The sequence below is a fragment of the Homo sapiens genome, chromosome 15, assembly GCF_000001405.40.
Source record: "Homo sapiens chromosome 15, GRCh38.p14 Primary Assembly".
NCBI classification, from domain to species: Eukaryota; Metazoa; Chordata; class Mammalia; order Primates; family Hominidae; genus Homo; species Homo sapiens.
In genome coordinates, this window is record NC_000015.10 from 43,035,370 (window position 1) to 43,061,952 (window position 26,583).

Sequence of the window (26,583 nt, forward strand, 5' to 3'; positions counted from 1 at the left end):
CATTTCAGGAGGTATGGTTAAGAAATAACTTTTAAAATATGGCTAAATATGTCTTCTTTTGAGAAGTGTCTGTTCATGTCCTTTGCCCACTTTTTGATGGGGTTGTTTGTTTTTTTCTTGTAAATTTGTTTGAGTTCATTGTAGATTCTGGATATTAGCCCTTTGTCAGATGAGTAGGTTGCGAAAATTTTCTCCCATTTTGTAGGTTGCCTGTTCACTCTGATGGTAGTTTCTTTTGCTGTGCAGAAGCTCTTTAGTTTAATTAGATCCCATTTGTCAATTTTGTCTTTTGTTGCCATTGCTTTTGGTGTTTTGGACATGAAGTCCTTGCCCATGCCTATGTCCTGAATGGTAATGCCTAGGTTTTCTTCTAGGGTTTTTATGGTTTTAGGTCTAACGTTTAAATCTTTAATCCATCTTGAATTGATTTTTGTATAAGGTGTAAGGAAGGGATCCAGAACAAAAAACCAAACACCGCATATTCTCACTCATAGGTGGGAATTGAACAATGAGATCACATGGACACAGGAAGGGGAATATCACACTCTGGAGACTGTGGTGGGGTGGGGGGAGGGGCGAAGGATAGCATTGGGAGATATACCTAATGCTAGATGACGAGTTAGTGGGTGCAGCGCACCAGCATGGCACATGTATACATATGTAACTAACCTGCACAATGTGCACATGTACCCTAAAACTTAAAGTATAATTTTAAAAAATATGGCTAAATATGACTGAAATAAAATATGACTGAAATAGTAACAATATTTCCTTTAAAATTAATTCACATAATTTACAGGTTGTATACCTGGTCTTTTGTAGATATGGTCTTGTTAAAAGCCTCGGCAAGTTCATACCTCTGAAGTACCAGTAACAAGAACTTATTGGGATCCATTAAAGATGCACCAATCTGTGAAAGAAATCCAGCATCATATTTCTTCTGTATTATATGGAGAAACATTTTGTCTCATGTAGGACTGTCAAAAATTAAAAAGTTTGCAGAAGATAATGTAGTAGTCCCTTCTATTTCTATGAGTCATAATCAGTTTAACAGTGAGAGTATTTTAAGTTAAAAATTATTACATTATCTTCTCTCCTTAGAAAGAATTCAAGAAGGAAGATGAAGACACAAATATCAGAAACAATTTAAATAGGTACCTGAAGCATGATGATATCTTTATCATACATTTCTTCTCTGCACTTAACATCTTGGTAATAAAACACCTATAAGGTAATAGGTAGAATAAATCCTAAAAGAATTATTTTATTTCAAGCAAAATTCTCAAGAAAACCTATCCTTAAAACTTTCTCTAAGCTAGAAACCCCTCAAAATCCTTAGTGGCAAAAATAAGTTGTAAATCTATGAATCACTTAAAGGGACTAGCGAGGATGAAGTGAAGAAATATGGCATGAAATCACTTCAGGGTTAAAAATGTTCTATATTAGTTATTACTGTCATGTATAACAAGAGAATTTATTTTCCCTAAGTTTAAAATACCTACTTCAATAAAAGTAAACCAATTTCTACACTCAATCATAATACCATTTTTTTCTTTTTTTTTTTTTAATTTCATTTTAAGTTCCAGGATACATGTGCAAGACATGTAGGTTTGTTACAGAGGTAAACGCATAATACCATTTTTCTTCCAAGTGCTAACTTTACAAGACCTATTTCTCCACCTTTTAAGAAATGCAAGGGCAGGCTCAGTGGCTCATGCCTGTAATCCCAGCACTTTGGGAGGTTCAGGTGACCGGATCACCTGAGGTCAGGTGTTCAAGACCAGCCTGGCCAACATGGTAAAGCCCCATCTCTACTAAAAACACAAAAATTAGCCGGGCATAGTGGTGTATGTCTGTAGTCCCAGCTACTGGGGAGGCTGAGGCACGAAAATCACTTGAACCCCACAGGCAGAGGTTGCAGTGAGCTGAGATTACACCACTGCACTCCATAGCCTGGGCAGTAGAGTGAGACTCTGTCTCAAAAAAAAAAAAAGAAAAAGGAAAAAAAAAAGAAAAGAAAAGCACTGCTGCATATTTACTCCAAAATAGAAGAAAAAATTACAAGGTGGCCTTCAATTAAGACAGATGGTGGAAAGACTAAAGGCCTCTAAGTAAGGTAATTCTCAGAAAAGAACTATGTTAATGGGGAGGACTCTGGTGGTACTACCGGCTTTCCCTTAATTTATCACACAAGCATCCTAGTTTATAATTCAGATGGAATACACAGTGAACAGGATAGGAGAAATGTCTATATAGTTCCTAGAACTTTCATTTCTAGGAGTTTATACAAGAGAATAGTAACATACACTCAGTAAAATCTAGGAACACAGGGTAAAATCATATAAGAGAAAAAAATTAGAAAATGAGCACATTCATAAATATGAATAATAGACTTTGCTGTACCTGGCTAATAAGAGACAGTCCATTTCTTCGCCACATCTCAGCAACAACCTGGGCAACCAACACCAGACAACGTAAAGGATATTCCACTAGTACCTCTACTTGAAAGTCCTCCTGAAATAGAGTGAGTTCAATTTTATCATTTCTCACAGAGCTTAGATGTGTCTCCAAGTTATGCCACTACATATTCTTCAGTTTTCTCACGTGAAAAATGGAAGAGCTTGAACTAGATGACGTCTAAGTCCCTGTGACTCAGATTACAATGTACTATATGAAGATGTAAAATTACTAAATGGGAATTCCTCAGGTGGGTTTCTAAATATTATCTCCTTCTCGTCCATCAACCAAGAGATATTCAGAAACAGAATATAAGCAAATCAATACTTAGTAGAATCACTTACAAAAGACACAAATTCATGCAGTCTTGAAACAGCACCCAGCCTGCTTAAACGTACATGAAGACCTAAAGTTAAAAAAACGAGAGAGAAAATGAGAAAACAAACCCAATTTGTTAACTAGTTAACTCATCAAGTTTAGAAACTTGTGCGATTTGATTTGGCTGGGCGCGGTGGCTCATGCCTGTAATCTCAGCACTTTGGGAGGCCTAGGTGGGTGGATCATCTGAGGTCAGGAGTTCAAGACCAGCCTGGCCCACATGGTGAAAGCCCGTCTCTACAATAATATAAAAATTAGCCGGGCCTGTAATCCTAGCTACTTGGGAGGCTGAGGCAGGAGAATCGCTTGAACCTGGGAGGCGGAAGTTGCAGTGAGCCAAGATCATGCCACTGCACTTCAGCCTGGGTGACAGAGTGAGACTCCGTCTTAAAAAAGAAAGAAAGAAACTTGTGTGAGTTAAATGTATGTTTACTGAGTTTAGAAGTGACAATCTAGAATGCAGACTGTTGATTTCTAATTTTGAAATACAATATTACTAACGTATTTAAAATCCTACACCATGCAAGGTGTGCTCATACCTTATTTAAAAATGACAAACTGTCTCTCAAGATACCTTTATTCTGCCTTTAGCCACGTATCAAAAGAAATGAAAATTAATCTAAGTATTTTTAAGGAAAATTTTTATTTTCATTAAAAAGGTACTTTTAACAAAAATTTTTATTTTCATTAAAAAGGCACTTTTAACAAAAATTTTTATTTTCATTAAAAAGGTACTTTTAACAAAAATTTTTATTTTCATTAAAAAGGTACTTTTAACAAAAATTTTTATTTTTATTAAAAAGGTACTTTTAACAAAAATTTTTATTTTTATTAAAAAGGTACTTTTTACAAAAATTTTTATTTTTATTAAAAAGGTATTTTTAACAAAAATTTTTATTTTTATTAAAAAGGCATTTTTAATAAAAATAGAAGCAATATAAAATCACATGACATCAATTATGCCATATACAAACATTAACTCAAAATGGATCAAAGACTTTAAACACAGGTTTAAATATAGGTGCTAAAACTAAAAAATAAAACTCATACAAGAAAACGTAGGGAAAAGCTTCATAACTTTAGATTTGACTCTTCCTATCCATGAGCATGGAATGTTCTTCCATTTGTTTGTGTCCTCTTTTATTTCGTTGAGCAATGGTTTGTATTTCTCCTTGAAGAGGTCCTTCACATCCCTTGTAAGTTGGATTCCTAGGTATTTTATTCTCTTTGAAGCAATTGTGAATGGGAGTTCACTCACGATTTGGCTCTCTGTTTGTCTGTTATTGGTGTATAAGAATGCTTGTGATTTTTGCACATTGATTTTGTATCCTGAGACTTTGCTGAAGTTGCCTATCAGCTTAAGGAGATTTTGGGCTGAGACGATGGGGTTTTATAAATATACAATCATGTCATCTGCAAACAGGGACACTTTGACTTCCTCTTTTCCTAACTGAATACACTTTATTTCTTTCTCCTGCCTGACTGCCCTGGCCAGAACTTCCAACACTATGTTGAATAGGAGTGGTGAGAGAAGGCATCCTTGTCTTGTGCGGGTTTTCAAAGGGAATGCTTCCAGTTTTTGCCCTTTCAGTATGATATTGGCTGTGGGTTTGTCATAAATAGCTCTTATTATTTTGAGATATGTCCCATCAATATCTAATTTATTGAGACTTTTTAGCATGAAGGGCTGTTGAATTTTGTCAAAGGCCTTTTCTGCATCTATGGAGATAATCATGTGGTTTTTGTCTTTGGTTCTGTTTATATGCTGGATTACATTTATTGATTTGCATGCGTTGACTGTGAAAATGACCATGCTGCCCAAGGTAATTTATAGATTTAATGCCATCCCCATCAAGCTACCAATGACTTTCTTCACAGAATGGGAAAAAACTGCTTTCAAGTTCATATGGAACCAAAAAAGAGCCCGCATTGCCAAGTCAATCCTAAGCCAAAAGAACAAAGCTGGAGGCATCATGCTACCTGACTTCAAACTATACTACAAGGCTACAGTAACCAAAAACAGCATGGTACTGGTACCAAAACAGAGATATAGACCAATGGGACTGAACAGAGCCCTCAGAAATGATACCACACATCTACAACCATCTGATCTTTGACAAACCTGACAAAAACAAGAAATGGGGAAAGGATTCCCTATTTAGTAAATGGTGCTGGGAAAACTGGCTAGCCATATGTAGAAAGTTGAAACTGGATCCCTTCCTTACACCTTATACAAAAATTAATTCAAGATGGATTAAAGACTTAAATGTAAGACCTAAACCATAAAAACCCTAGAAGAAAACCTAGGCAATACCATTCAGGACATAGGCATGGGCAAGGACTTCATGTCTAAAACACCAAAAGCAATGGCAACAAAAGACAAAATTGACAAATGGGATCCAATTAAAGAGCTTCTGCACAGCAAAAGAAACTACCGTCAGAGTGAACAGGCAACCTACAGAATGGGAGAAAATTTTTGCAATCTACTCATCTGACAAAGGGCTAATATCCAGAATCTACAAAGGACTCAAACAAATTTACAAGAAAAAACACAACTCCATTGAAAAGCAGGCGAAGGATATGAACAGACACTTCTCAAAAGAAGACATTTATGCAGCCAACAGACACATGAAAAAATGTTCATCATCACTGGCCATCAGAGAAATGCAAATCAAAACCACAATGAGATTACCATCTCACACCAGTTAGAATGGCGATCATTAAAAAGTCAGGAAACAACAAGTGCTGGAGAGGACGTGGAGAAATAGGAACACTTTTACACTGTTGGTGGGACTGTAAACTGGTTCAACCATTGTGGAAGACAGTGTGGCGATTCCTCAAGGATCTAGAACTAGAAATACCATTTGACCCAGCAATCCCATTACTGGGTATATACCCAATGGATTATAAATCATGCTGCTATAAAGACACATGCACACGTATGTTTATTGCAGCACTATTCACAATAGCAAAGACTTGGAACCAACCCAAATGTCCATCAATGATAGACTGGATTAAGAAAATGTGGCACATATACACCATGGAATACTATGCAGCCATAAAAAAGGATGAGTTCATGCCCTTTGTAGGGACATGAATGAAGCTGGAAACCATCATTCTCAGCAAACTATCACAGGGACAAAAAACCAAACACTGCATGTTCTCACTCATAGGTGGGAATTGAATAATGAGAACACCTGGACACAAGAAGGGGAACATCACACACCGGGGCCTGTCGTGGGGTTGGGGGAGGGGCCCCCAATGTATAGGGACCCCCCTATACATTAAATGACGAGTTAATGGGTGCAGCATACCAACATGGCACATGTATACATTTGTAACAAACCTGCATGTTGTGCACCTGTACCCTAGAACTTAAAGTATAATTAAAAAACAAAAAAACAAAAAAAAATTAGATTTGACAATGAGTTTTTTGGATATGACACCAAAAGCACAGGCAACAAAAGAAAAAAGTAGATAAATTCAACTATAACAAAAACTCCTGTGTCTCAAAGAAGACCATCAACAGGGTAAAAAGGCAACCCACAGAATGGGAGAAAATATTTGTAAATCACATATCTGATGAACACTTAATATCTAGAATTATATAAGTAACTCCAACTGAACAGCAAAATTAAACCAGATTAAAAAATGGGCAGAGCACTTGAATAGACAGTTCTCCAAGGAAGATATACAAATGGCCAACAAACATTTGAAAAGCTGATCAAAATCACTAATCACTAGGGACACGCAAATCAAAACCACAATGAGATATCACTTCATATCCATTAGAATGGTTATTATCTGGGGGGGAAAAAAGGAGAAATAGCAAGTGTTGGCAAGGTGTAGAGAAAATGGAATCCTAGTGCATGCGGGTGGGAATGTAAAATGGTACAGCCACTAAGGAAAACACTATGATGGTTCCTCAAAAAACCAAACATAGAATTCCCAAATGATCCAGCAATTCCACATTTGGGTATATACCCAAAAAACTGAAAGCAAGGACTTGAAGAGATACTTCTACATCCATGTCATAACAGCACTATTCATAACAGCCAAAAGGTAGAAGCAACCCAAGTGTCCATCAACGGATAAATGGATGAACAAAATGTGGTATATTCATACAATGGAATATTATTCAGCCTTTAAAAAAAAAGGGAATTCTGAGATGTACTACAACATAAACCTGAGGACATTATGCTAGGTGATATAAGCCAGTCACAAAAGGACAAATACTGTTTGAGTCAACTTATAATAGGTACCTAGAGTAGTCAAATTCATAGACACAGAGTGGTAGTTGCTAGCGGGTGTGGGGAGGAGGCAATGGGGAGGTATTGTTTAGTAATAATAATTGTTTAATAAATTATTATTCTATTCAGTTTTGGAAGTTTCATGCTTAGAAGATAAAAAGCTTTTGGAGAAGGATGGTGGTGATGGTTGTAGAAAATGTGAATATACTTAGTGCCACTGAACTGTACACTTAAAAATGGCTAAAATGATAAGCTTTATGTCATGTACATTTTATCATTGAAAATAGAAATATATACACTTCAATAAAGCTATTTTTTAAAAACCCTGACAAATGAATGGCCAATTTACATGGAAATGCAAATGATTAAGGAGAATCTATGATTTCTTCCTTTTAATGATAAAGAATGATACAGATAATACACCAGTGAAATTGGTCAGAGAGGAGGTTTAGAAACCAGCAACCAGATTTTATTATATTTAAATTTGGGTGGGAGATGAGTTACCACGTTAGTCCTTAAGTATATACTCTAAGGATCCATAAGTTGACCCAGACAAAACAAAGCCCAGGTAAATAAGCAGCTTTAAATAGATGTTCTGGTGACAGCTCCTTGAAGGACAGTGACAGCCCTTAACTGCAGTATCTGACCTGAGCATGTCTGTACATATTGAGCACAGAACAAAAATAGAAATGATTCTACTAAATGAATACCTAGAAAGAAAGCTAATAGGTATATGCAAAAAGAAAAAACAAACACTCACCAGCAAGGGTCCTAGAGAGTGGCAGATGTATGCTTACAAGATCCTCAGATACTCTGTAGGACTTTGTTTCCAAACTATGTCCACACGATTGTACTACTGTCTTGCTACTAGATATGAAACTGGTACTGCACCTCATCACAGCTTTGTGACATTCTTTATAAGCCACAAGTAAGAGTTCTTCCTAAGAGGAAAATAAGATACAAAAAGTTGACAAGTTTTCTACTTTAACACTTTTTTTGTTTTGTTTTGAGACAGCCTGTCCTGTGGCCTAGGCTGGAGTACAGTGGCATAATCACAGCTCACTGCAGCCTCAACCTCCTGGGCTCAGTCACCTGAGGTGATTCTCCCACCTCAGCCTCCTGAGTAGCTGGGACTACAGGCGCGTGCCACCATGCCCAGTTTTTGTATTTTTTGTAGAGGCAGGGTCTCCGCATGTTGGCCAAGCTGGTTTTGAACTCCGGGGCTCAAGTGGTTCACCCACCTTGACCTCCCAAAGTGCTAGCATTACAGGTGTGGGCCACCATGCCCAGCATAACATGCATCATTCAATAAATATTTACTAAATATGAGTGGAAAATTGTTCTATGTATTACTAAGTCTACCTCCACAGGATCTGCAAACTTGTAGGAAACATAAGATATACCTATATATGCACTTATAATCAAAGTAAAAAATAAGTACCATGTAAATGGTACAGACTAATTGCTCTAAGAGGGGGGAAAAAAAAGAATCACAAAGAACTGGGAAGACATATTTGTGAAAGCAGCTTCTGATGGGCCCTAAAAGAATATGCATAATTTAAGTATGGGGAAAGATAAGGAGAAGATGGCATTCTAAGCAGAGATATAAAATAAATAAAGACAAAAATAAGAGAAATACAACTCCTATTCAGGCAGTGGAGAATAAAGAGTAGATAAAATGAAAGAATTTACGGATGAAATTAACAAGCATTTGAACTGGAAATGTGCCTTGGCACAGGCATGTGAATACACTGATGGAGTCCGCAGTGTAATAATGTAGCCAACACACTGCTTCAGGAAGAATTAATGTGGGTCATTGAAGATGGTAGATTGGAGAGGATAAAGTTAGTAGACAAAGAAACCAACAGGAAGATGACTATAAAGTAAAGTGATAAGGGTCTGAACTAGGGTGGGGCCATCAGGACAAAAAAGAATGAACCCATAGAAAATAATTTAGAATTATAAAATATATTTGAGATAAGGAAGAATCAAATCTGGGTGAATACAGAAGGGAGACATTAAAGACCATTCTTTTAAGATAATGTTTCTAATTTAATCTTGAAAAAGGAACTCCATGGTCAAAACAGATGATTTGGAAACATCCCTCTCAGAAATCAGCATACTGACTAACTAAAGGGTTTTAGAAATTCAGTAGCGGCTGGGCGCAGTGGCTCACATCTGCAATCCTAGCACTTTGGAAGGCCGAGGTGGGCAGATCACGAGGTCAGGAGTTTGAGACCAGCCTGGCCAATATGGTGAAACCCCGTCTCTACTAAAAAATACAAAACAAATTAGCCGGGTGTGGTGGTGCACACCTGTAGTCCCAGCTACTCAGGAGGCTGAGGCAGCAGAACCGCTTGAACCCAGGAGGCGGAGGTTGCAGTGAGCCAAGTTCGTGCCACTGCACTCCAGCCTGGGTGACAGAGCGAGACTCCATCTCAAAGGAAAAAAAAGAAAGAAAGAAATTCAGTAGCTTTAAAAGAAAAAAAAATCCTCTTTTTGTTTAACCTGACATTTCTGAATCTTACATGAACCCAGAACATTTTTCCCTTCAAAACACCAGTTAATGTTGAACATATAGAAAACAGTGGCTCTGAGATTTCCCATATGGATGAATTTAATAGTAATGTCATTAATAAAACAAGGATAATCAAAATGAGAAAATGCAAGTTGGAAGTAGAAGGAAATGATGACAGGTCCATTTAAAATATTTTGAGTTTGAGGCCAGGTGTGGTGGCTCATGCCTATAATCCCAGCACTTTGGGAGGCCAAAGAAAGAGAATCACTTGGAAGTGAGGAGTTTGAGACTAGCCTGGGCAACACAGAGAAACCCTGTCTCTGCAAAAAATAAAAAAATTAAAAATTAGCTAGGTGTGGTGGCATGTGCCTGTAGTCCCAGCGACTTTGGAGGCTAAGGTGGGAGGATCATGTGAGGCCAGGAGGTCAAGGCTGCAGTGAGCCATGATAGCGCCACTATACTCCAGCCTGGGTGACAGAGTAAGACCTTGTCTCTAAAAACACACACACACACTCACACACACAGACACACACGTGTAAGATCTAAACAGGAATGTCTGGCCCACAAACAGAAGTGACACTGTAGCTTAGGAGAGTCATCCCTATGAACTTTTAACTAAGTGGTAGAAATACAAGAGAAGAGAAAAGAATGTAAGATATACACACATACACACTTACCATCAAAGTAAAAAAATTTTAAATACCATGTAAATGGGACAAGCTAATTGCCCTAAGACGGCAAAGAAAATAATCACAAACAATTAGGAAGACGTATTTGTGAAAACATATTTCTGTAAGAAAGAGAATATTGGGGAATGTCTCGTTTAGCAGGCAGAAGGCACTAGAAAAAAAGGTAATCACTGACTGAAATAGGTAATCGATAATAAATGTATTAGGATAATGCCTGTTTGTGAAAACCAGAGGGAAACAAAGTTTCAAGATGGTTAAAGTACTCAAGAAAATACAATGCTACAGATAATTCAAGGAAGATGGAAACTAAGGAAAGACCTCTGAATTTGGTTACCAAATGGATCCTCTGTGATTTTTTTCTAAATGCAGTTCTTGTCAATTGATAAGGGCAGAAGCCAGACTGTAAAGAAGTGTTAGGAGCTATAAGTGAAGATACTAAATGTAGATGACTTCAGAAGGTTTGGAAGAAGTCAAGATGAAACCTTTGCCTCATCACCTAACAATTGTGCATGCCCTCCATAAAAGTGAGGGAAGCCAAAAAATACATGCTGTGCTTGCTGGACAGTATTTCCTGTGGTGATTGTACTAAAAAGCTACAGTGCTAGATTAAAGTCTACTACATTTGTGAGTATGGCTGCCACTCTGAACCTATGACCAATTGCTGGTGGTGAAGCAGAAGAGATTATAGTTCACAGGGGTGCAAAGGCAAGAAAGGAGGCTTTTATTATTGTTGTTTTTAAAAATAAGCGAGTCCTGTGTGTTTATAGACAATTGAATAAAAGAGTAGGAAACACAAGTCCAGATAATTCAGGAAGCTAACTCCAGGAAAAAGTAATATAAGTCAGAACCAAGAGCCTAGGTAGAGTCATTAGACTTAGAAAGAGACAAAAAGGAAAAGACCAATAGTGAAGACGCAGAAAAACTTAGTCACTGAATAGGTTATGGTAACAGACACAGAGAAAGCAGAGATGATGAGGGAATTTAACTTAGATAATAGCAATTTTCTCAGAAAATAAATAAATGAGGTCATCATTCTTAAAGGGAATCTAGGGTGGGATTACATATTTAAAGACGGTTATGGTCTAAAATTGCTGCTTAAGGAAATACATTAGTTCTATAGTTTGAAACTAACACATACAACAAAGCTCTTGAATGAATAATCTACCCCTCTCCATTCCTGGAATATTTAAAAGTCTACTATGGTCCTCATTATATTATTATTAATATGCATTTTCCAGGGAATAAACGTGTGTATAAATACATACATACACATGTATAAACCCTGCTATTCCCCAAAATAAGCAAAACTACCACAGGGCACATTTTCTACTCAAGTATATACAGTTTCCCCCTAAATTTAAAAAGAGAAATTCAAATATGTAAAAAGCTACTATAAATAATAAAAACTTTACATCAAGGAAGCTGCAACATAAAACTATACTATTAATAATTACTAAGAACTTAAAAAGGCACTGATCCTACTAACAAATTTTACTTACATCACAAGCACACCACTCTTGGAACATGAGTAAAATATTCTTCAATTGCATCTGTATAGCAATGGCAGCCTCCCAATCAGGATCCACTTCAATGTGTTGCCCAACCTGTCTTCGGATTTCTTCCATTCCCTGCAATTACAAGTTGGTCAACATACACCTATCTGAGCCCTCTCTCTTTGCTCTGCTCTTGGCAAAATATAAAACTGTCAGGATTCATAACATTTTAACATGGTTGTTACACTGGGTCAGAATGCATGGGTTCAATTCCCAGCTCTCAGGTATGTGCTCAGGGTTAGAACATTAACCGCAAAGCCCAGCTCTGTCTGGTATTTCTAGCTGTGTGACCCTGGGCAAATTATTTCTAAGCTTGGTTACTAAATGGATCCTTTGAGATTTTTTCCTAAATGCAGTTCTTGTCAATTGATAAGGGCATAAAGTCAGACTCTAAAGAAGTATTAGAAGCTAACAAGTGAAGATACTAAATGTAGATGAATTAAGAGTATTTAGGAGATGTCAAGATGAAAACAAGCACCTTAACCTCATCACCCAACAACTGTACATGCTTTCCATAAGGGTGAGGGAGCCAAAAAAATATGTGTTGTGCTTGCTGCACATGCAAGTAACCCTTACATGTAAAAGGAGAATATTAATAGTAACTACTTAATAAGATTGCTATAAGGCTCAAAAGAGATCATGCATGAAAAGTGCTTACTACACATTTATCACATGGTAAGTATTCAGCAAACATTAACAGAAGTAGCAACAGTAGGCCGGGCATGGCAGCTCACACCTGTAATCCCAGCACCTTGGGAGGTCAAGAGATTGAGACCATCCTGGCCAACATGGTGAAACCCCACCTCTACTAAAAATACAAAAATTAGCTGGGTGTGGTGGTGCATGCCTGTAATCCCAGCTACTTGGGAGACTGAGGCAGGAGAATCGCTTGAACCTGGGAGGCGGAGGTTGCAGTGAGCCGAGATTGCACCATTGCACTCCAGCCTGGCAACAGAGCGAGACTCTGTCTTCGAAAAAAAAAAAAAAGTAGCAATAGTAAACTAAGGTATATAAAAGGATCTATCAAAACAGGATGAGTGAGTCAATGTTTAAATCTTGTTTCTACTTTGCTAGATAAATTCTTTCTTGTATTAAAACCAAAATCTGCTTTAAAAAGACTGCGGTTCAATTTTTAAAAATAAATTTCTTTTACTGATGTACAGAAAAATGATCATACCTGCATACAGGTAAGAATCTTCAAAAAAGATCGAAAACCTTCAAGGAACTGCATTCTTAATCTTTCTGTCCATATTGTGGGTTTGCTGATCAGGATATACCTATCGTTTCAAGAAAGAAAGAAATATTTCATTTATCTATTTTGAGATAATTTTAAGGTTCTCAGGGTTATAGACAATGTTGATTTATAAAAATTATGGATTCTAATTTCTCACAATAATTAGAAGCTCTGAGTAGAGCTAGAATTATTTATTCTGCCTTATTTTAAATACAACCAGTAAAACATGAATGCTCTAGAAGAGGCAGATATCAAGCTAAACCTGACTTCACACACTACATTCTCAGAGGTTAGTCTGATTAAGTGAACCTAGAACTGACCAAGCCTGTCACAGCTAACTCTGGACAACCACAGTACAGATTCCCTAGAACTGTTCACACCCATCAGCCAAAGGGCCAGCTGAAATTGTTTCAGCCTCAGGAGATTTGGAACAGATTTTCTACCTCCAGTTTTTCATAACCCAGAACTTGGAAGAAGGATGTAAGCACCTGTCATCTTGACTTGCACATCAGGATGTACTAGTTTCAAGAGATAAACAAACTCATTTTAGCCTATAATTTGTATGATTAATATTTCTTTTGGCTGTAAAGACAATGACTGGTTTCATATACAATGGGAACAATGTTTATCATGAAATGAGTTATCAGGAAGTAATTATTAACAAGTATAAAATACTATTTTGCACTTGACCAATGAGAATAAATTCCTGTTATATTGCAGGTGTTGGGAACATAAACATGGACACACCTGTCCTGAAGTTCATAGTATAGTGGGAAAAACAGATACACACAGTAGACAGAAATTCAATGTTAAACACTAAAATAATGTATAAAAGAGGTAATGTATGGCTCACGCCTGTAATCCCAGCACTTTAGGAGGCCGAGGCAGGTGGATCACGAGGTCAGGAGATTGAGACCATCCTGGCTAACACAGTGAAACCCCGTCTCTACTAAAAATACAAAAAATTAGCTGGGCGTGGTGGCGGGTGCCTGTAGTCCCAGCTACTCGGGAGGCTGAAGCAGGAGAATGGCGTGAACCCAGGAGGCAGAGCTTGCAGTGAGCCGAGATCGCAACACTGCACTCCAGCCTGGGTGACAGCATGACACACAAAAAAAGAAGTAATGTAGGTACATAAAGACAAAGCAACAAAGAAAATACATTTTTTTTGAACTGCAAAGATAGGATTGTGGTTTAATTTTTCTCACTCTTTAGATACCCATTAACATGCAAATGTACATTAAAAATACAATCATCAAAGAAACTTATAAAGATTTAATTCAAATATACTAATTACCATCTAAATCTTTCTTTTAAAGTAAAAGATAAAAAAGATTAAAGTTTAAAATCTGCCACATTGAACAAACGGCATTCATGTTTTGTTGCTTTCTAGAGCACTACTACTCAAAGTGTGGTCCACTAACCAGCAGCACCAGCCTCACCTGAGTGCTCTTTAAAGAGGCAACATGTTGGGCTCTAATTAGACCTGCTGAATAAGAAGCTTCCCTGCCCCCGTTTTTTTTTTAAACTTGGCCTTACTCTGTTGCCCAGGTTGGAGTGCAGTGGTGCAATCATAGCTCACCACAATTTCAAACTCTCAGGCTCGAGTAATCCTCCTGCCTCAGCCTCCTCAGTAGCTAAGACTACAGGCGCGTGCCACCAAACCTGGCTAATTTTATTTTTTGTAGAGACAAAGTCTCACTATGTTGCCCAGGCTGGTTGCAACCTCCTGGCCTCAAGCAATCCTCCTGCCTCAGCCTTCCAAAGCACATGAGCCAACGCAATCAGCCCCAGAATCTGAACTTAAGGAAGCTCCCCAGATGATTTGCTTCTGCACAGCAAAGGAAACTATCAACAGAGTGAAGAGACAACCAACAGAATGGGAGAAAATTTTTGCAAACTATGCATCTGACAAAGTCCTAATAGCCAGCATCTATAAGGAAAATAAATAAATTTACAAAAAAGAAAAAATGAATAAGTGAGGCCGGGTGCAGTGGCTCACGCCTGTAATCCCAGCACTTTAAGAGGCCGAGGTGGGCAGATTGCCTGAGCTCAGGAGTTCAAGACCACCCTGGGCAACACGGTGAAACCCCGTCTCCACTAAAATATCTCCACTAAATTACAATAAATTAGCCAGGCATGACAGCATGTGCCTGTAGTCCCAGCTATTCGGGAGGCTGAGGCAGGAGAATCACTTGAACCCAGGAGACTGAGGTTGCAGTGAGCCAAGATAGTGCTACTGCATTCCAGCCTGGGCAACAGAGCGAGACTCCGTCTTAAAAAAAAAAAAAAAAAAGCGGGGCAGGGGAGCAAAGGATAAGAACAGAACAGACACTTTTCAAAAGAAGACATACATGCTGCCAACAATTACATGAAATAAAGCTCAACATCACTGATCATTGGAGAAATGCAAATCAAAACCACAATGAGATACCATCTCACACTAGTCACAATGGCTACTATTAAAAAGTAAAAAGTCACAGACGCTGGGGAGGTTGCAGGGAAAAATGAATGCTCATACACTGTTGGTAGGAGCATAAATTAATTCAAGCATTATGGAAGACAGTGTGACAATTCCTTGAAGACCTAAAAACAGAAATGTCATTCAACCCGGCAATTTCATTACCGGGTATTCACCCAAAGGAATATAAATTGTTCTATTATAAAGACACATGCACACATACATTCACTGCAGCATTCACAATAGCAAAGGCATGGAATCAACTTAAATGCCCATCAGTGATAGACTGGATAAAGAAAATTTGGTACATATACACCATGGAATACTATACAGCCAGAAAAAGAATGAGATCACATCTTTTCTGGGAACATGGATGGAGCTAGAGGCCATTATCCTTAGCAAACTAACGCAGAAACAGAAAACCAAATACTGCATGTTCTCACTTACAAGTGGGAACTAAATGATGAGAACACATGGACACATAGAGGGGAACAACACACACTGGGGTCTATCAGAGGATTGAGGTTGGGAGGAGGGAGAGGATCAGGAAATATAGCTAATGGGTACTAGGCTTAATACTTGGGTGACAAAATAATCTTAACAACAAACCCCCATGACACAAGTTTACCTATGTAACAAGCCTGCACATGTACCCCTGAACTCAAAATAAAAGTTAAATAAAAATTAAAAAAAGCAGCTCCCCAGATGATTTGCATTCACATTAAAATCTGAGAAGCACTGATCTAGAAGAGAATTTACATTTTTGGTTTCTAACAATCTCACATAGCTAATGAGCAACCTCTATAGATGACTTACCAAGTAAAGAAGATGTAAGGGATTGGAACAAACAAAAGGGTAAGGAAGGGAAGGAAAAGAAGTCTGTAGATAAAAATAGGTGGCAAAAGCAATGGGAAAAGAGGGAGAAAAGTGTGGACAGGGTGAGACAGTAAGGGAGTGATTTGGTTTGAGAGTGTGCTATACTTTCTGGAAATGGAACAAAGGAATAGGTTAGAGTAATAAAAGAATAATATTGTTCCTCAATAGCACCAAGGTTCAACTGCATCTCTTTTCTAAGTTGCATTTCCACAATAAATTAGCAACTGAGAAACAAAGTACCCCATGAGATACCTCCCAAAAAGCAAGTGACAAAACTAAATAGACATAAATTTTTTAGAATAAGAGAGGTAGCAATCCCTCCCTTCTGTGTTTTCCTAGGCAGATCTCAGTTGGAGTACTGTGTTCATTTCTTGGCACATAAATGGTATACATGCACCTGGAACAGGTTCAGTAGAGAAGGACAATGATTTAGAAGGAATTTTAACCAACATGAAATGGGACTAGTTAAAGAAATAAATGCAACTCAATGCAGAAAAGACCTGGCAGGTATGACTGCTGCCTTTAAATACTTCTTCAAGTTAAATGAGAATTGAAGTTGTTCTGAATGGACAAAGAGAGAACTAGAACCAGAAAATAAAAGCTACAAAAAAAGACAAGAGTTCAATATACAATAGGAAACTTTCTAATAGTTGGAAGAAGCTATCCAAAGTTGGAATGTGCTGCTTTGAGAGAATGAAAATTTCCTAAGGCAGGCTGAACAGAGTACCTACTAGTACCAACAAACTTATTTCATGCTGAGGTACAGTCAGATAAACACAAAGCTAAACTATGAAGACCTACAAATTCTGACAGAATTTAGACTTTATCTGGGAAAGAAAATACATTAAGTGTGGTTATTGCTAACTAATTTAAAAACAAGGTTTCAGGGGAAATTAGTAAATAAACATGTAGGGAAAGAGTAAGATGTGACTACAGAATTTCTACAATGAGAGACTGAGAAAGCAATTAACACGAATTATTTGCTAAATAAAGAGTTTTTGTGATTGGTGTGTTAGGCCAGGTTTCAGAGTAGATTTTGTGTTGTTGTTTATGTATCCTGTGAGGCTACATGACATAGTGAAAGGAACATGAGTTTTACAGATAAACGGTGTTTATAATCAAATCTCAGTTCTGCCACTTACTAGGTTTGTGACTTGAGGCAAATATTTACAATCTACAAAGTAAGATTATATCAAGTACCTTCTAAGAATAGTGCAAGAATATAATCAGGTAAGATAAGCAAAGCTCCTTGGCACATAGCAGTTACTAATAAATCTCACAGGATTCTCATGAGAGTGAATTACACAGTACCTGCAGAACAGGTGTTAATTTTCCCTTCCCCTGGTCACTGGAGATATCTATATTTAGGTTGGGATAGAGGGGAGGAATTGTAAGCATCAGAAGATTTAAAGTTGCCTTCCAAACTAGACACCTTAAAGTTCTACTATAAGGGTAGGTATTTAGGGATGTGCTGGCTCTAAATTATTCACCGTAGAGATTAGCTATAGTCAGAGACTCATAAAATATGATAAAACAAGTGATTATGCACCACTTAACTGGATATAAAAATAACTCAGTTATAATACTTCACAGTAATGATAGCCATGGTAGAGAGATTTTTTTCTATATTCACTGACCTAACAATAACTTTAAGTACTGCCATTAGGAGTTTTTGTTTTGTACAACATGTAAGTTTTGCATAATTTGGCTGAGAAACAAATTTCAATTACAATGGCTATATATTGATTCACTACTGAATTTACCTACCATCTCCACTTATACTGAAGATAAAATATAATAATTTACTGAACTTTATTTTATTTTTTTAGAGATAGGATCCCGCTCTGTTGCCCAGGCTGGAGTGCAGTGGCATGATCACAGTTTACTGTAACCTCAAACCCCTGGGCTCAAGTGATCCTCTCGCCTCTGCATCCTGAGTAGCTAGGAATAGAGGCTTGCACTGCTGTACCTGGCTAATTTTTATTTTTATTTTTGTAGAAACAAGGTCTCGCTATGTTGTCCAGGCTGGTCTGATACAGACGCAATTTTTTTTTTTTTTTTTTGAGATGCAGTCTCACTCCGTTGCCAGGCTGGAGTGCAGTGGCGCAATCTTTGCTCACTACAACCTCCACCTCCTGCGTTCAAGCGATTCTTCTGCCTCAGCCTCATGGCAATTTTTAAAAAATGGAGTATTTTCAGTCTGCGGTTGGTTGAACCCACAGATGTGGAACCCACAAATACGGAGGATCAACTGTATAGCAAAAAGGAGTTAAAAAAATGTTAACAGCCAGCCGCAGTAGCTCATGACTGTAATCCCAACACTATGGGAGGCCAAAGCAGAAGGACTGCTTGACCCCAGGAGTCCAAGTCAGCCTGGGCAACAAAAAGTGAGACTCCGTCTCTACAAAACAATAAAAAATTTGCCAGGCATGGTGGCACGTGCCTGTGGTCCCAGCTACATGGGAGGCTGAGGCAGGAGGATCACTGGAGCCCAGGAGGTTGAGGCTTCAGTGAGCCATGTTTGCATCACTGCACTCCAGCTTGGGCAACACAGCGAGACCCTGTCTCAAAAAAAAAAAGAAAGAAATTTATGTCAATAGATTGTCTGAAACTATGCACAAAGAGACTATATAGGAAGGACAGAACCAAAGTGTGTGAGTGGAAGTGAATGAAAAGTATGGTAATTACAATGGCAATGCATTTGGTGACCCCAGGAGATCCCAAGTTCCTGTAATGGGCCTCTCCTCAATACCTTCTTTACTAACCAGGTTTTACAACTCAATAAGAAGCCTTCACTGAAGACATTTATTAACGCGAGGCAGTAACAGTTCTTTGTACTTGCCATCATTATAAAGAGAATTCTGGATAACCAAAATGATCACAGGATTACTTATAAGACACAGCAAATAAGCACACTGAGTTTAACAGGTGCCCTCACCTTTTGACTTGAACAACTTACTTTAGGTCACATATTACTGCATATACTCTTCCCAATTTGTCCTGGCTATAACCCTGGAAGTTGAATTTATTGTTCCTGTCCAAGTACTCAGGTAAAACTTCTAGCAGAGTTTCAGTAATGACAGAGATAACATTCTGCTCTTCAATAAGATGTCGAGCCTGCGGAATATTTCAAGAATATTTTCTTTAGCATTAACTCATTGTGGTATGGACTTAATTTATTCATTCATTTGGTTAGTCAGTATGTCATTTTTAATAAATGTTTGTTATTGAATGTTAAACACAGTCCTTAGTTTCACTGAATAGCAACTACTAAGAAGTTATTTTCTAAAAGAAAAAATTCCCTACTCCTCAGTAACTAGACAACACCTATCTGGATACTCCAAGCCCATTAGACAGGTTATCTAGATAAATGTTTATCATCAGTAATGTGGTGGCTCATGCCTGTAATCCCAGGACTTTGGGAGGCCGAGGCAGGCGGATCACCTGAACTCAGGAGTTCGAGACTATCCTGGTCAACATGGCAAAACCCCATCTCCACAAAAAATACAAAAATTAGCCAGGTGTGGTGGCAATGCCTGTAATCTCAGTTATTCAGGAGGCTGAGGCAGGAGAATCGCTTGAACCAGGAGGCGGAGGTTGCAGTGAGCCGAGATCGTGCTACTACACCCCAGCCTGAGTGACAGAGAGAGACTTCATCTCAAAAAAAAAAATCACACAATGAGCAAGTATAACAAAGATATACTTCATGACTTCTAGCACACTACGATCTATTCTGAAATCTCCTCCTTACCCCAATCTAAACTCTCCTCTCCATCCTTTTGAAAAAGTAAAGTAGAAACAATTAACCAAGTTTGGATAACTATCTAATTCCAGACAAGAAAAGAAGTAGGGCTGGGCGCGGTGGCTCACACTTGTAATCCCAGCACTTTGGGAGGCTAAGGCTGGCAGATCACCTGAGGTCAGGAGTTTGAGACCAGCCTGGCCAACATGGTGAAACCCCGTCTCTACTAAAAATACAAAAATCAACCAGGCGTGGTGGTGCCTGCCCGTAGTCCCAGCTACTTGGGTGGCTGAGGCATGAGAATCGCTTGAACCCGGGAGGCGGAGGCTGCAGTGAGCCCAGGTCGTCCCATTGCACTCCAGCCAGGGCAACCCAGCCAAGACTCTGTCTCAAGAAACAAAAAACAAAGAAAAGAAGTGGTATACAAAGGAAGCAGAATCTTCCACTCTCCTCCCAGGCCTATGCAGCACCCTCTCTCCCAAATGCTTGACAGGCACACCCTCCCACTTCTTAGTTTTATCTTATTCTATCTGCCTACAAACAATAACTTAAAAATAAAATATTTTTGGTATTGAAAAGGCAGTGTTCATAAGTTACTCTAGAAAGTAAGAAACCAGCTCTAGGTGTCATCTGCATTGACGAGGACATCTGAACCAAGGCAGCGCCTAGTTAACTAGTCCTTGGGTAGCACTAAAGTATTCACATAGCCCAACTTAGTGATTCTAACATTGTTCTAATTTGATTCAACATTAAGTGGAATTCTTACAAAGCAAAACAAGTTTTACTTAGAAAGACTGAAAAGGAATAATCAATACATACCAGAGTAGGAACAGTAAACATCTGAACTGAAAGTGCAGTTATAGAGATACTTCTGTCATGATCATCACTGATATATTCTTTCTGCAGTTGTTTATAATACTGAAATATATAAGTAGAGAATCAATTATAAATCACTACTAAAGACCTTTAAAAAATCCCAATTTTAATAACTGCTGCAGGTTTGTTTCTATCTATAAAATGTCAAGTAATATAATTCCTATTTATTAAGGCAAGATATTATGATCAGCAAAAATATCTTAGAAGGAGAATAACAAACAACAAATCAAGTAAAAATTCACCTACTCAATTTAGCAGAGATAGAAGTGGAAACTATTAAAATATACACATAGGTTAAAAAACAAACAAACAAACAAACAAAAAACAGAGGACTGCAATGGTATAGTTTATCCTTTCTCCAAACAGAATCTGGGGCAATCTTTAGCAGCTTCCACTCTAATGGTATTGGGCAGGGAATATATTCAAAGTATTTAACAACTGATATGACCCAGAAAAACCAACCAATCAGATTGAATCCAGCCTTAAACAGAATGGATGCTGGCTGCAAATAACTTCTTTCCCATACTGGTACATAACAGCTGCAAAACAACCCTGATATACTGGGAGAACAAAAATAGGAATATACTCAGTCACATAATAGGCATCTATTATGTGTAAGGCACAAAGTTGGATACTTAACCTACTTTAAGTTAGATACTTTACCCTCCAGAATTCCTACAAAGTTTAAGGGGTAACCATGGTGTACAAAAAAAATCATCTAAGTAGGGAGATTAGCTTTTGTATAAGAAAACAAAATTTCATTTCAGATCACACATATGGTCCAATATTCTATATCTGAAGAGTTTTAGAAGAGAACATCTTGAGTTGCCATCACTGCTGAAGGATAAGACATACAACAAATGTCTTAGTTACTTTTAAGTCTGCATATAAAATCCAGGTAATGCAGGTATCTTATCCCACAGTGTCATTTGCCTACAACAATCATTATTTCTTTCTCTGCTTCCAATTCCATCTTGGGTCCTATATCTATCTTAAGTCTTACAGAATTGACTGCAACTCAAAATCAGAGGAAATCAACAAGTATGACTGGCAAGTATGATTGCCTTATATAAGGCAAAATAAAAGATTCAAAGGAGTCCTTGATCTGTATACCCTTGCAATCTAATTTGGTAGATAGACAAAAAGATACAGTAAGGTAAGAGATACACGATAGATTAATAAAACATTAAAAAGCTGTAAATTTTAGCCTTATGCTTTAGCTTCCAAAAACTAAGTAGAACTCTTGGCCACCTAATTCCTGCCCCCCACTTTAGCATACACATCTGTTCTTCTTTCCTGCTATACTTTTCAATTAGTCACTTCTATTCTTATTGTAATTTTACTAACAGGCAAATAAATGATTAGGAAGACTGAATGCATATGTGAATGTGATAACCTCCCTTTGCTCTGGGTCAGTGGGTCATTTTCCACCTATCTCTTCTCTAAGAATGCTGTTTCTATACTAGCAAATAACATTTGTGAAAATATTTATATAACGTATGAGAACGAACTTTTTTTTTTTTTTTGAGATGGGAGTCTCACTCTGTTGCCCAGACTAGAGGGCAGTGGCGCGATCTTGGCTCACTGCAACCTCTGCCTCTCAGGTTCAAGTGATTTTCCTGCCTCAGCCTCCTGAGTAGCTGGGACTACAGGCACCTGCCACCATGCCTGGCTAATTTTTGTATTTGTAGTAGAGACGGGGTTTCACCGTGTTGGCCAGGCTGGTCTCGAGCTCCTGACTTCAAATGATCCACCCACCTCAGCCTCCCAAAGTGCTGGGATTACAGGCGTGAGCCAACCCGCAGGGCCAAGAACAAACTTTTGACAAAGAAATAAATCATAACATTTAATTTTTGATTCATAATTATCCCTGTTTCTATTAATTCATTTATAAAAACTGCCTATTTCTATTTATTGATATCTAATTTATAAATAATTACCTTCACAAATTCCATAGCAAAGAGTTTTTTGTATTCCATCTCCATAAAAAAACTGCTGAAGATCAATTCATGAAGGATCTTACGGGCACCTATAGATTATTTTGGGGAGGGTGGGGGAATGAGGAGAATCACCAAGGCAAAAACCAAAAACATTCTGGCTATTAGAGTGGCAGAATATTATAAAATTACTTCACATGCAAACAGACCTCAAATAGTATTTATTGTATTAATATTTAATAACTGGAATTTAAAATACACACATATATTGCCTTTTCCCTCTTTTTCTGCACCCCTCCCACCACTTCATCTTACACTTCAATTTACTCTCTCCCAACCTTTTCATTCTTTTTCTATTTCACTGTACTTTTCCTTCTCCATGCTTTTAGCCTTTTACGTTTTGTTCTTCATTTAGATTTTTACAATGAAAATAGCATCTTTTTCGCTACTCGATAATGGCACTACTACCTGAATATATAGATACATGTATAGACACATACATATATACTCTTTTTGACTGGCTCTCACTAAATGAAAAGACTCTATAATTAAAAGACAACATCCCTGGGTTTTAACACCAAAGAATACATACTGACTGGTTAAACTTTATATTCACATGTAGTATCTTATCAATCAAGATTACAGATTTAATAACTAATTTAATAAACAAAAGATATTACAGCTCCACTTTAAGGTCATAATCTTCCTTTGCTTCCTGACAAACAGCATAAGCAAATGTCTACTTACCTTTATAAAGCTTTGCATCCCAAAGCATTAACCTGCTTATGAGACAGGGATTCTCCGAGTCAGGTTCTTCTCTAAGGCATGCTTGGCAAAAGATCTGCCTAAAGTCACCTACAAACAAAAGAGGTCACACAGTTACACAACTTGTATTCTTTTTCTTTTTAAATAGAGATGAGTCTCACTCTGTTGCCCAGGTTGGTCTTGAACTCCTGGGCTCAAGCGATCCTTCCACCTCAGCCTCTCACAGTGCTGGCATTACAGACATGAGCCCCTGTACTCAGCCATAATTTTTATTCTTATAACATTTCTCCTAAAAGTACATTTCCTATAACATGTGAAAAGAATAATATTAATCCTCCCACATTTGAGGCAAAGAATAATTCTGTCAACATCAAAGACTCAACAGCCAATAAAAAGATATTATTTGATACTATGCACTTGAAATAATATCCTAAGATATTATACATTTGAAATGCAACCCTGAAAATTAATCAAAGTGTATAAACCAAAAAAAAAAAAAAAAGAAAAACTTTATTTCATACTCAATGACATTTTAAAATTTGTGGCTATAAAACACATAGTATTTTATCAGAAACAAGAAAAACAGGAGGTATGCTTACTTGAATAGCTCATAATTTTGTTCATCCAGGAACCAAGACGCAAAGCAAATTTCTGATGAGCCATAATCTCTGAGTGTAATACTTCTACATGAAGTGGATGTTGAGAGACATTTTCTGAATGACTCTACAAATGAAGGGAACGAACCAAAAAAATAGCATTTAAAATTTGCTTTTAGTTAAGGGATTTATACTTCAAATGAAGAAATCACATAACCCTGCCAGTTCCAAATCTCTGCATCTAGGTGCCCCAAACCACTTCAACGACATCATCACTCAAATTATTCTACTTGGGCTCTTGTAATGTACATTCATCTTTAACTTCTCTTTTTCCCCCTAATTCAGAAAGTTACCTTTATATCTTCCTTTGCTTCCTGGCAAGCAGCATAAGCTCCCGCTTTAACAGCCCGACGACCCTAATTATAGACAAAAGTGAGAATTAGGTAGTGAAATGATAACCACAATCAATAAGCAATATGTAGCCCAAAGACTTAATGAGCTCTTAACTGAGCTCTAATCGCGTGTTGACTAAAAGTTGTAAGATACCGGAACAATATCTGAAAGACAGATGCAAATGTTTAACACCTTTATGAAGTATGAAAACTTTAATACCTCTAGGACAGACAGTCTATAGTTTAAGATGCTGAGTTTCTTGCCTGGCAGGAATGGCAGTTCTTTAGTTACTGCAGTGTCCTCTCTACTTATATGAAACAATGACTCAGGCTTTCTAAACTTCTGCTATGTATTTAAAATATTTTTCATGAATGAATTCACAGCTCTTCAACATGTATCCTATGATATACTTGTGGCCCATTAACGAGCGGGAAGTATAGCTGGACTACTGATTCCACCAGTCCTGGAGGCGGTCATGCAAGGTCTATGTAGGATTTCCTTGTAGCTCATTCTTTTACCCACCTGTAAAAATTCATCATTTTCTATATGTGCCATGTGAAAAAAGTCAGGAAGCACTGTCTTCCTCATTTAACCTTTACAATGACCCTATGAAGAAGGTATACCACATTTTACAGATGATAAAAAGAAAAATAAGACAGAAGTTAATTTGTCCCCCAATCAGAAAGTTAGCAAGTGACAGATTCAGAGATCCATGACAAGCATTTCATCTCCAGAGTCTGTACTTTTAACCATCCTGTAATATTCCCTCTTTAGCTGCTTAGTACATAAGCATAAGAACTATCCAAATATATTTGGACTACTAATTACACCAGTAAGGTTGCCATTACAGAAAAAAAAAAAAAAAGCACAAAAAGCCAGGCCATAAGAGATTGTTAAAAGAACAGATTGGACAAGAATAGTTACATAAACTCGAGCTCAATCAGCTTGTATGTATGTGATGCTGGCAATTAACCTAAAGCAGTGGATCTCAACAAACAGGGGGAGGAAAACCACCTCACATCCATATTTTTTGGCTGCTATCAAAAAATAAGAAGGGAGTTAGCTGCTGATCATGGTGGATGGGAGACAGGACTAGATTGGAGCTCCGAGCTCTGACTCAGATGGACAGAGCAGCACACAGAGGCTCACATCATGAATTTTAGCTCCAGAACGACTGTAAGAACAAACCAGGAATCCAGAGAGGACCTACAGACCTTCTGAAGCAAGGGGACTGCTCCTGCAGGACCTGGGAGACACCCCAAATACTCAGTCCCAATACTGGCTATCTTTCCAGAGGAAAAGAAGTCATTATACGAAAAAAGATACTTGCACACGCATGTTTATGGCAGTTACAATTTGCAATTGCAAAATCACGGCACCAACTGAAATGCCCATCAGAGTGGATAAAGAAACTGTGATAGATATAGATACACACACACACATATACACATACACATACATACACACACATATGTATATATACACACACACATATATGTATATATACACATACACAGGCTGGAATACTACTCAGCCATAAAAAGGAATGAATTAACGGTATTTGCAGCAACCTGGGTGAGATTGGAGACTATTATTCTAAGTGAAGTAACTTAGGAATGGAAAAACAAACATTATATGTTCTCACTGATGTGTGGGAGCTAAGCTATGAGGACGCAAAGGCATAAGAATGATACAATGGACTTTGGGTACTTTGAGGGAAGGGTGGGTGGGGGAAGAGGGATAAAAGACTACAAATAGGATGCAGTGTATACTGCTGCGGTGATGGGTGCATCAAAATCTCACAAATCACCATTAAAGAACTTGCTCATGTAACCAAATACCACCTGTACTCCAATAACCT

General features: G+C 37.8%; 1 protein-coding gene across 1 annotated transcript in view; it reads right to left on the minus strand.

The window, feature by feature from the left end:
* The window catches only part of UBR1 (ubiquitin protein ligase E3 component n-recognin 1), a 163,142-nt gene that overhangs the window by 92,473 nt on the left and 44,086 nt on the right, over window positions 1–26,583 (minus strand). The window contains exons 7-19 of the mRNA NM_174916.3: window positions 24,683–24,745; window positions 24,333–24,456; window positions 23,716–23,823; window positions 22,972–23,060; window positions 20,975–21,073; window positions 19,373–19,530; window positions 13,023–13,122; window positions 11,792–11,920; window positions 7,846–8,026; window positions 2,802–2,863; window positions 2,404–2,514; window positions 1,159–1,224; window positions 809–910 (exon numbers count right to left, since the gene is read on the minus strand). Coding sequence (NP_777576.1) covers window positions 809–910; window positions 1,159–1,224; window positions 2,404–2,514; window positions 2,802–2,863; window positions 7,846–8,026; window positions 11,792–11,920; window positions 13,023–13,122; window positions 19,373–19,530; window positions 20,975–21,073; window positions 22,972–23,060; window positions 23,716–23,823; window positions 24,333–24,456; window positions 24,683–24,745 — 1,392 coding nt within the window. The remainder of the gene's footprint in view (window positions 1–808; window positions 911–1,158; window positions 1,225–2,403; window positions 2,515–2,801; window positions 2,864–7,845; window positions 8,027–11,791; window positions 11,921–13,022; window positions 13,123–19,372; window positions 19,531–20,974; window positions 21,074–22,971; window positions 23,061–23,715; window positions 23,824–24,332; window positions 24,457–24,682; window positions 24,746–26,583) is intronic.